The 11822-nt window shown below is 33.1% G+C and overlaps 2 annotated features.

The window, feature by feature from the left end:
* Positions 404–573: an enhancer, noted in NCBI's record as "experimental_74428 CRE fragment used in MPRA reporter constructs". NCBI's record gives its function as "activates a minimal promoter by MPRAs in K562 erythroleukemia cells, with activity observed for both the introgressed and non-introgressed 4:131186457 variant alleles {active_cell/tissue: K562}" and the evidence as "EXISTENCE:reporter gene assay evidence [ECO:0000049][PMID:34662402]".
* Positions 6105–6274: an enhancer, noted in NCBI's record as "experimental_74418 CRE fragment used in MPRA reporter constructs". NCBI's record gives its function as "activates a minimal promoter by MPRAs in K562 erythroleukemia cells, with activity observed for both the introgressed and non-introgressed 4:131180756 variant alleles {active_cell/tissue: K562}" and the evidence as "EXISTENCE:reporter gene assay evidence [ECO:0000049][PMID:34662402]".

The following is an 11822-nucleotide window of genomic DNA, read 5'->3' as shown; positions in this document are numbered from 1 at the left end:
GTAGTGGAAGAAACATTGGGAAAATGCATCAGAACATTGGTCAGAGCAAAGAGTTTTTGGGTAAGTACTCAAAAGCACAGGCTACCAAAGCAGAAATAGACAAATGGGATGATATCAAGCTAAAAAGATATCAAGAAAGGAAACAGTCAATGGAGTGAAGAAACAACGTTCTCACAGAATGGGAGAAAATATTTTTATAATGTCCATCTAACAATGGATTAATAACCAGAATGTATAAGGAACTCAATTAAATAACATAATAATAATACATAATCTGTTTGAAAATGGGTGAAAGATTTGAATGGACATATCTCAAAAGAAGACATATGTATGATGAACAGATACATGAAAAAAATGCTCAGTATCACCAATCATCAGGGAAATGGAAATCAAAATCCTGATGACATGTCATTTCACTCCAGTAAAATGGCTTTTATAAAAAAGACAGGAAATAACCGTTGCTGGTGAGGAGGTGGTGAAAGGGGAACCTTCTTACACTATTGGTGGGAATATAAAGTACTACAGCTGCTATGGACAATATATGGAGGTTCCTCAAAAAACAAAAAAATAGAAATACCATAAAATCCATGTCTCACTGCTGAATATATACCTAAAAGAAGAAAAGTTGCCAGATGCAGTGGCTCCCGCCTGTAATCTCAACACTTTGGGAGGCCAAGGCAGGGGGATCAAGAGGTCGGGAGTTTGAGACCAGCATGGCCAACATAGTGAAACCCCGTCTCCACTAAAAATACAACAAATTAGCTGAGGAAGGTGGCGAGTGCCTGTAATCCTAGCTACTCGGGAGGCTGAGGCAGGGTAGTCACTTGAACCCGGGAGGTGGAGGTTGCAGTGAGCCAAGTTTGTGCCACTGCACACCAGCTCGGGTGAAAGTGTGAGGCTCTGTCTCAAAAAAAAGAAGAAAAGTCAATATATGTAGGCACCCCCATATTTATTATAGCACTATTCACAATAAGGAAAGTATCGACTCAATCTATGTGCCCATCAATGGATGAATAAAGAAAATGTGCTGTCTATACACAATGGACTATTATTAAGCCATAAAAAAAGAATGAAGTTCTGTCATTTTCAGTAACATGGAAGGAGCGGTAGATAATTACATTAAGTGAAATAAGGCAGGCACAGAAAGACAACTATTACTATTACATGCTCTCACTGACTTGTGAGAGCTAAAAAGTAGATTTCATGAAGATAGACAGTAGATTGTTGGTTACTAAAGTCTGGGTAGAGAGAGGAGGAATAAAGAGAAGTTGATTAATGGGTACAAATGCATGGTTAAATAGAAGAAATAAGACAAGGTGTTCAATAGAGTTATAGGGTGACTACAATAAACAATGTATTGTACATTTCAAAACAGCTAGAAGAGAATAAGTTCAATGTTCCCAGCATGAAAAGAAGATACTTATTTAAGATGATAGATATCCCAGGTACACTGATCTTTACACATTACATAAATTTTACACATTACAAATCTTTACACATTACATAAATATATTAAATTATCACAAGTACTCTGAAAATATGTACATCTAGTAAGTATCAATAAAAAAATGCAATCTCATGAAAAATTAGAAGATAAAAAAAACCGAATGAAAACTTTAGACTTGAAAAACTTAAAGAAAAAAATAATTTTAAGTTGAATTGATTTATCTTGAGAATTCTACCAAACTTTAAAAGAAGAATCAGCAAAAATTATGTACAATCTCGTCCCACAAACAGAATAGAATAGTTCTTAATTTATTTATGAAGCTAATAGTACCCTGATACAAAATCATAAGTTGACAGGACAAAGTAGAAAAAATGACTGTTCAACATTACTTCTGAATAAAAAAGAAAAGTTTCTAACAAAATATTGGCAAATATTGTTCAGCAATATATTAAAAATATTATACAACATGGCTAAGTAGGATTCACTCTAGGGTTGCAAATATGTTTTAATGTTTGAAACTCATTCTGTATAATCTACCACGTGAACAGATCAAAGAAAAAAAATCACATGATCATAACAATTGATGGCAAAAAGCATTTGACAGAATTCAACACCTATTCATGATAATTATTTTTAGAAACTTCTTTACTATATATAGAAATATATAGTAAGTTCCTGAATGTGAGAAGGAACACCTACAAAAAAACTATTGCTAATATATACTTAATTATAACATACTGAATAACTTAAGGATCTGCATAAAAGCAAAGCATATGTTCATTCTCCCCAATTTTATTCAACATAGTTCGGGATTTTTAGCCAACACATAGTTCGGGATTTTTAGCCAACACATAGTTCTGGATTTTTAGCCAACACAATAAGCAATAAAGGGACATATAATGCACCCATTTTAGAGTGAGAAAAACAAAGCTGTCCCTATTTGCAGATGGCAAAATTGTCTACATAGAAAATCCCAAAGGATCTATAAAAAACAAAACTCTTAGAACTAATAATTGATTATCAATTTAAAACTTGTACTCATTTCCAATGGATGAATTTAATGCTATAAATTTATCTTCAGCAAAGTGGCAGGATATAAAATAAACATGCAGAAATCAATTGTATGTCTGCATTCTAGCAGTACATATTTGAACACTAATTTAAAAATACAATGCCATCTGTAATTGGCAGAAAAAAATACTTTGGTGTAAGTCTGCCTAAACTTGTATGAGATAAGAATGCTGAAAACTATACAACAACATTGACAACACTGATGAATGAAATCAAAGTAGATCTAAATAAATGGAAAGACACATTATGTTCCTGAATTGGAAGATTGACAATACTCAGAGATGTTAGTTCTTCCAAACTGATACAGAGTTTGAATGTAATTCCTATAAAAATTTAGGCACAGAATTGTTTAGGTATAGGCAAGATTATTCTGAAAGGTATATAGAAAGATAAATAAGTTAAAATAGCTAAAACAGTTTAGAAAAAGAATAAAATGGAAGAAATTCATCCAATTAAATTTGAGACTTATTGTCCAGCTACAGTAATCTCAACTATGTTATGTTAGGGGACAGATAGATACCTTTCATAGTCACACATCAATGGAAAAATATATAGAACCCAGATATAAACCCTCACAAATGTGCCCAACTGAATTTTGATAAAGTTGTAAAAGTAATTCAGTGGAGGAAATTTAGCCTTTTCTGTAAGTGGTGCTGAAACAATTGGTTATGCATAGGTTTTTTTCTAAAAAAAATAATGATTTTACTGTTAACATAAAACTGTTTTTAAAAATAAAGTCTATTTAAGAAAATGACTCCCAACTTAAATATTGCAGTTTATTTTAAAAATTGACTCAAAATTAATAAGGGATTTAAGTGTAAAATATACAACAAAATATTTTAAAAACATTCATAGAAAAAAATCTTTAGGATCTGGGTTTACATAGAATGCTTTTATATTTGACATGAAAAAAAATCACCATCCATGAAAGGAAAGCTATATAATGAAATTAGATACTTAGAAACCACGTATCCAACAGAGGACTAGCATCTAGAACATAAAAGAAACTGAAAATTCAATTTAGAACATGGGCAAAAGATATTTCACCAAAAAAGGCATGCAGGTAGCAAATAAGCTCAGATAAAGATGTCGTACATTATTAGCCATATTAGCCATTAAGGAAATTAATATAGAACCACAATGAGCTATTACTGCACACTTATCAGAGTTGCTATAATAAAAATTATTACGGTACAAAATGTTGATGAGGATGTGGAGAAACTATATCACTCATACACATTGTTGGTGGGAATGTAAAATCAGTTTAGTGGTTTTTCTTAAAAAAAAAAAAACTGAACATACAACAACCATAGACCCAGCAACTACACTTCTGCATATTTATCACAAAAAATGAAAACCTATGTTCACACAAAAACTGGACACAAATATTTATAGCAAATTTTGTTGAAGTAGTCAAAGTTTGAAACAACCCTCATGTCTTTCTATGGGTGAATAAACAAATCCATTCCAAAGAATACTGTTCTACTGGGAAAAATAGAAGAAGAAAAAGAAATGTTGACACATCCAACAACCTAGAGGAATTTTCAGGGAATTATGCTAAGTGAAAAAGCTCGTTACAAAAGTTTACATGCTGTATGATTCCATTTATTCAACGTTCTTAAAATGACAGAATTTAAGAAATGGGAAGCATGTTAGTGATTGCCAGGAGTTAGGTGTATTGTGGGGGAGTGAGAATTATTTGTGGTTTACAGTATCATATAACACTAGAAGTTACCGTTTTGGTGGAAATGTTCTTTATCTTTGCTGTTTTGTGTCGATATCCTGGTGGTGATACTGTACTACAGTTTTGTAAGATGTTATCATTGGGGGAAACTGAGTAAAGGCCAGTTTCTCTGAATGAAATCTGCATTTCTCTATATTTCTTATAATTTCATGTAAATTTATAATAATCTCAAAATGAAAACTTTAATCAAAAATAATTTTTTTAATTGTGATGGCAATTTTTTGGTGTCAGTATGACTGGGCCCCAGGGTGCTGAGACAAGTGGCCAAACATTAGTCTGGCTGTGTCTGTGAGATTGTTCCTGGATTAGATCAGCGTTTGAATCCTTACACTCAGTAAAGCAGATTGCCTTCTCTAATTTGGATGGGCCTCATCTAATCAAATGAAGACCTGAGTAGAACAAAAAGTCTGATTAAGAGGGAACTCCTGCCTAACTGCCTGAGCTGGAGCTCTGGTCTTTTTCCACATTCAGACTCATACTCAAACATCAACTCTTTTTGATTCATGAGCCTGCCAGCTTTCATATTGGAACTATACTATTAACTGTCTTAGTTCTCAAGCCTTCAGATTCAGATTGGAACTATGCATTGGCTCTTTTAGATTGCCAGCTTGCCAACTGCAGTTCTTGGGACTTCTCAGCTTCCACTATCAAGTGAGCAATTCATAATAATAAATCTTTTTATATATATGCATACATATCTATCTTATTGATTCTATTCTCTGAAAACCCTGAAACACAAAAATATTAGGAAGGTATTTTAAGTATATAACTTAGCTTCTAAAAAAACAGCACTGCACACTCCTTTTTATATATTCTCACAAGAAAAAAAAGTAATTAGAACATTATTTTTACTTGATTAATATTGTGTGTGTACGTTTGTGTGTGTGTGTGTGTGTGTGTGCGCATATGTGTGTATGTGTAAAGCCTAGTAACAGATGTTTTTGGTGTGAAGTTAGAGGCAGCTAACGAGAAGTAGGAAGGTTTTAATTAATAAAACACATACCCATAGAAACTTAAGATACAAAAGGGGCAGTTGATCCTTCTTAAATAAATGCCTGTGTTCATTACCTATTCAGATCAGCATGTGGCAATTTTTATTTGTCAGTGAAAATCAATCAACCTCCACTTAAAAAAGAGGTAGACTATTTTGGGTCATCAGTATGATTCAAGTGGTATTCTATTTTAGAAAAGTCATTTCTTTTTAAAGATGTTTTTAATATTCATGATTTGAACATTTAATTATGGTTGATATTAAATAAAAAAGAATGAGAGCACATTTTGACTTGCAAAGTTTGTAGTTCACTAAGAATTCATTAGGCCATATTCAGTAGTATATAAGTAAGTCTTCAGCTTTATGAAATTCAGGTAAAGTCTATTTAACTATTGATAAATCTAATTGTAAAACTTTTTTAAAGTTTTTTTTTAAAAAATAAGACAAAATTATAGGCTATGGCTCTATTAAAGTGAGTATAATTTATATTTAAGCAGTGTTCGTGTTTCTTATAAAAATTTAAATGAAACTTCTGCACATCATTTCCACATCATGAGATACCAAATTCAGATTTTCTTGAAAAATACTACAGAAAGGTAAAGAATATTTCAAAGTCTGGGAGATTTTTATTCAAATCACTCATCCCTACCTATTCTGGCCTCTACAAGACAGTAACACACAGCTGCTACTCATTTTGAATGTCTAGTAGATGCCAGGTAATTTATATGTGGTATCTCATTCTACTCTTATAATAATTCAGAGATGAAAATACAGTTGACCTCATTTTACAGATATAGGATGAGGCTCAGACTACTTGTAAGTCCTTGGGTAGTTACCTACATTTTCTTAGTTTTAGTTTTTTCATTAATGAAATAGAGAAAACCTCATCTACCTCACTTTATTATAAATTATAAGCAACATAATATGTGCAATACATGAAACTCAGTTCTGTGAACCTAATAATCACTAAATAACAGAATATCCCTTCCATTTTATTTAAAATACTCTTCAGGTTCACTTTATACTCAGAAATAAGTCAGGATCTGTCTATAATGCCAGATTAGGAGACAGAACATTCACTATGCGGCTGATCAGGGTTGAGAGTTTACAGAGTTAGGTTACCTGACTGGGTCAACTTCATGTGCAGCAATATGTCTCCCTTTAAAAATAACTATGATGTATGAAGAATTAAATGATCCATCCAGGACTTTGATTTTCAGGCAGAGAAAGTTTGTTTCTTATGGTATGCCATCTGTAAGAAACGGCAAACAAGAAAAGGCATTGTGCCTTGTACATTTATCAAATTAAAAATAAAGTCTTGGATTCATATTAAGATAAAACAAAATTTTTAAGCTTCCTAAAATTCAAAACTAAAGACTTTTTATGCTTTAATAGTCAGAGCAGCACTAAATGACTCCCCTGGGCTCACTGCTAATTTTAAAGCTCTTAGACATTAGGACTGGATTTCAAGGAAGGTATGCTACTGAATTCATTCTTTTTCCTTTCCATAGGGACACCAATAAGTCTTCAAGGTTTAAAGTCAGTCAGCTCAACAGACCATGACAAGTCTTGAATCTTCTCGATGCATACAAAAAACACATTAAGAACCTGTTTGACAGGGCTGTGTTGAAAATGGCTTTGAGCAAATCTTTGATTATTTAAGATTCTTAAGTCCTAGAACAACAAAGCAATCTCCTATTTATCTCAATATTCTGAAATTTTTAATTTGTAATGTGAGTCCTGAAAATCTGAGACTGGTCTCAGTTCATTTAGAAAGTTTATTTTGCCAAGGTTGAGGATGTGCACCCCGATACAGCCTCAGGATGTCCTGAGGTCATGTGCCCAAGGTTGTCGGGGCACAGCTTGGTTTTATACATGTTAGGGAGACATGAAACATCGATCAATAGATGTAAGATGTACATTGGTTCCATCCAGAAAGCCGGGACAATTCAAGCAGGGAAGGGGCTTCTAGGTCACAGGTAGGTGAGAGACAAAGGGTTGCTGAGTTTCTGATTAGCCTTTCCTAAGGAGGCGATCAGATATGCATTTATCTCAGTGAGAAGAGGGATGACTGAATAGAAGGGGAGGCAAGTTTCCCCCTAAGCAGTTCATAGATTGACTTTTCCCTTTAGCTTAGCGACTTCGGGGCCCCAAGGTTTCCAAGATTTATTTTCCTTTCACAGTAAATACACTTAGGAACATGGTGAAAGATATTTTTTAGATTCGTGTAGCTGCATCTCAGATTAATGATATCTTACATAGCAATCTGCATTATTTTCTAGTGATATGTAATTTCTGATGTCATTATTTTTGTACAAGATTAAATAACCAGTGCGTGACTTTTTGATCTTAACGAATAATCTAAATAACTTTTTAATTTATAAAATCATATGCTTACATAATGTGTGGTTACACATGATGCATTATGTGTGAGGTAATGCTCTTACCACATTTGCTTAAATTATCATTAAATATCAAAGAAGTCACTGTAATTTGAAACATAAATTAATGCAAAGGGAATTTTCTACCTCAAGATAATTAATGAGATTTTTAAATTACACCAAAAATAAATTTCATATGTCTTTCAAAGTATAGTTATTTTAGCTCAATTAAAATTGAATAAGAGGTAGTTTTAATCACATAAGTAAAGACCTGGCTCTGTGATTCGAGGAATGCAACTAACAAGAATCAAAAATATTTTGCCTGTCTGGATATTTCAGGCAAAGGTGTCTTTCAGCTAAACTTGTTTTGGAAATTCCTTCAATGGAACTGGCATAAGAGATATTCTAGGCAATGTGAATTATCAGTTTGGGCTGATGTAGATTCTATTTGCATCTAGAACATACAGGCACATTGAATAGACTGATCATGACAAATTCAGCTGTAGCATAGCATGGCCAAAACCCACCATAAAAAAGATGCTTGCACACTGAAACAAAACTAGAAAAGAAAGAAACATAGCTTTTGACAAATTACTAGGCATTTTATTTTAGGTAGTCACTTCCTTTAGAATGCCACTAGGGTTTTACTGGCTCCATTATCTTTAATTTCCCATAGCAGTGATTCATTCACGTTCCCTTATTCAGGCTTCTAAGATGAGTGGCATGAATCAGAGAGATGCCTTGAGGGATGATTAGGAAAGCATTTGCCCAAGGAACATGGTCACGAGTTCCTTGAGGGATTGAACTCATGTTCTTGGTCTCCTTAATATCAGGCTCTAAAGAACTGTGATAACTGGCCAGATATTACCATTCTATAAACTCAATTAAGCTATTATTTCCTAGAAGAACTTAGAAGGACACTTTTCAGCTTCATATGCCTTCAAAGCTCTCTGAATTTAAAAACAAAGTTTAAGAATATTAAAAGCACTAAAATTTATCTTGATTTCCTACAAGTGATATGTTTCATTCTACATTTAAACTAGGTAAAAGGCAGTCAGATAAACAGAAGGTTTTTTTTTTCTTCTAAACAGCAAAATGTTTATTTTGGTAGATAATCTCTTTCCTTAGTATGCCTTCATTTTCTATACTTTAAAATAAGAAATTTAGAAGCTGTGATGTTTCCTAATAATTTCTATAATAATATATTTTATTTTCTTTATTTCTTTGTCCTTTCGCAGACAATTTTCATCCGTTTGGCTAATAATGTTCTTTGCTTACCATCGCCCCTGACTTTCCTTTTTTACTTCCACAATAAAAAGATAGAAATAAAATATGTATTTTAACCAAATATGAAAAGGTGATCACAGTCTTTATATTTTCTTCTTTTTGGTAAGCTAGCTTGCCATAACAGAAGTTTTTGCTTACCAAAAAGATTTATTTCAAATTAGCAAAATTTTCAGAACAGAGAAAATGTGAACTTAATTTTTTTCTACTAATAAAGGGATTAGTTCACATAACGTCTCTCCTACATTATGTGGTGTTTGTAAGCAAGTGCAAAGTAAGCAAGATTGTTATTTAGCAGTAATAACCTATGTACAAACATCCATAAATAAAGAAATCAAGTATTCCAGGTTCTATGAGCCTTATTTATATAACTGAGTATGATATCACTAAAATTTACACTTTTGAGGTATCTGAAGAATACATAACATTGCTTTAAGAATGTGTGTGCCTATATATGTGCTTAGTTTATGAATTGACATTGTCTTATAAATTCTGATGCTGTACTGTACTTCATTGTAGGCATATATTATCATTTACCTACTCCCTTAACTGATAATAAACACCTAGACTCAGCCTGGGCACATAGCAAAACCTAATCTCTACAAGAAAATACAAAAATTAGCTGAGCATAGTGGTACCTGCCTGTAGTCCCAGCTACTTGGGAGGCTGAGGTGGGAGGATTGCTTGAACCTGGGATCGCACCACTGCACTTCAGCCTGGGTGACAGAATGAGATCCTGTCTGAAAATAAATAAAAAAAAAATAAAATAAGTAAAAATCCTAGATTGTTTTCACATCTTTTCCACTTGCAAACAATGTTCATATTGGTTTTTATGAGAACATAAACAAGGATTTTGCTGGTACTAAATGTATTAAGGTCTACCAAATGGCTTCCTAGAATGGCTGCCCTAGTTATACTTCTCAAATACACACATGCCTGCACCCATACACAAACATAGTGTATAAGTTTAGATCTTATAGACAGTTGGATTTTTATTCAATATCATATTTTTATTTGCATTTTGAACTTTAATTCAATATTTTTATGGATTAAAAAATTAACATGAAAGAAAAAACTATGAAGTTAGAGAACACATAGAAGAAAAATAATTTCTTAACATGCAAAGGGGGAATGCATAAGTCCTGAAAAATTTTATCACCTAATTTAATAAAATTATCTCTAAATTAAAACCAATATCTAGATATTTTATCAAGCTAATAAAATTGGGTTTTTCTTTAGTTCCTGGTAACACACCTCAAATCTCATGAAAGGTAATTTTAGAAAATCTATCCTGAGCATTGCACGAAAATAATCCACTGTTTCATGTATTGTTGGTTCCCCAGTTTGACTATACTTGTCATGAAACACTTAAAAGTTTTATTCATGAGTAAATACTTAAGCTGACAGTATATAGCTGTTAAAATAATAACTATTATATTTTGAAATATGTTGACACCTTAGGGGATAGAGAAGTCTAGAAAACATGTCCTACCCAGAAGTTACACATTCTCAATGCCCAAAGAGAAGGCAATAACATACATGGTTTCTCTCAGGTTAATTTGATTGATTTTGATAAATTGATCACAAAAATCAAATAGTTTTTTATTTCCAAAATGCCAATTAATCTCTTTATACTGAAATATCCTTTAAATATATGTTTCATTTTCATTGCTTCTCTTTCAATGTCCACACAAGAAAAGATAATGTAAGCAGTGGCACATGTTATTATAATAATAATTATAACACTGTAAGCATATTAATAATAATATAGTGATAGATACATTTATTAACTACCTACTGCATATCTAGGACTTTGTCTTTATTACCTCATCTAGTCTTTAGAACATCACAAAATAGGGATTATTATTACCATCATCAGAAAAAAAAAGCACTCAAATAGGTGGAGTAATTTGACAAATGTCTCACTCCTTATAAGAGACAGAAGCTTGACATGATGGTTCACACCTGTAATTCCAACACTTTAGGTGGTTGAGACAGGAGGATCACTTGAGCCCAGGAGTTCAAGACCAGCCTGAACAACACAGGGAAACCCTGCCTCTACAGAAAAATAACAAATAAATAAATTTGGCAGGTGTGATGTTCATGCCTGGAGTCCCAGCTACTGAGGAGCCTGAGGTGGGAGGATCACTTGAGCCCTGACGGTTAAGGCTACAGTGAGCTATGATTCCACCACTACACTCCAGCCTGGACAACAGAGTGAGACCCTGTCTCGAGAAATAGAAATAAAAAAATAGGCAGAGCCAGAACACTATGATTTCCCCAACTGTACTTTTTTCTCTCTATGTACACTTTCAGACATAATCCTGTGAAGGTTAATTTTATGTGTCAACTTGACTAGGTCATGGGGCCCAGATATGTGTGGTCAAACCTAATTTTGGTTGTTTCTGTGAGGGTGTTTTTGGCAGGGCTTATCATAAATTGGTGGACTTTGTGTAGATTGTCTTCTATAATGTTGGTGGCCCTCATCCAATTAGTTAAAGATCCAAATAGAACAAAAGGCTGACCTCCTCCAAACAAGAGAGAATTTTGTCAGATGATAGCCTTGGAAATTGAACTGAAACATCAGCTATTCCCTGGGTCTGCAGCAAGCCTGCCTGCCTACCCTGAGTAATTGGGACTTGCCAGCCTTCATAATTGTGTGAGCCATTCTTCAAAATGAATTTTTCTTCATAAATAAAAGATAGATAGATACCTACCTACCTACTTACCTACCTACTTACCTGCATACATGCATAGATACATAGATTCTATTGGTTCTGTCTTTCTGGAGAATCCTAAGACAAATCTTAGCAGTTATAGATGTGTTTGTGAACTCCAAGTAGCTTTATTTTATTAACTCTTCTATTTTATTATTAATTCTTTTATTTTTCCAAACAAGAAAGT

This window comes from Homo sapiens, chromosome 4 (genome assembly GCF_000001405.40).
Source record: "Homo sapiens chromosome 4, GRCh38.p14 Primary Assembly".
NCBI lineage: Eukaryota > Metazoa > Chordata > Mammalia > Primates > Hominidae > Homo > Homo sapiens.
This window is presented reverse-complemented; position numbering and strand designations above follow the sequence as displayed.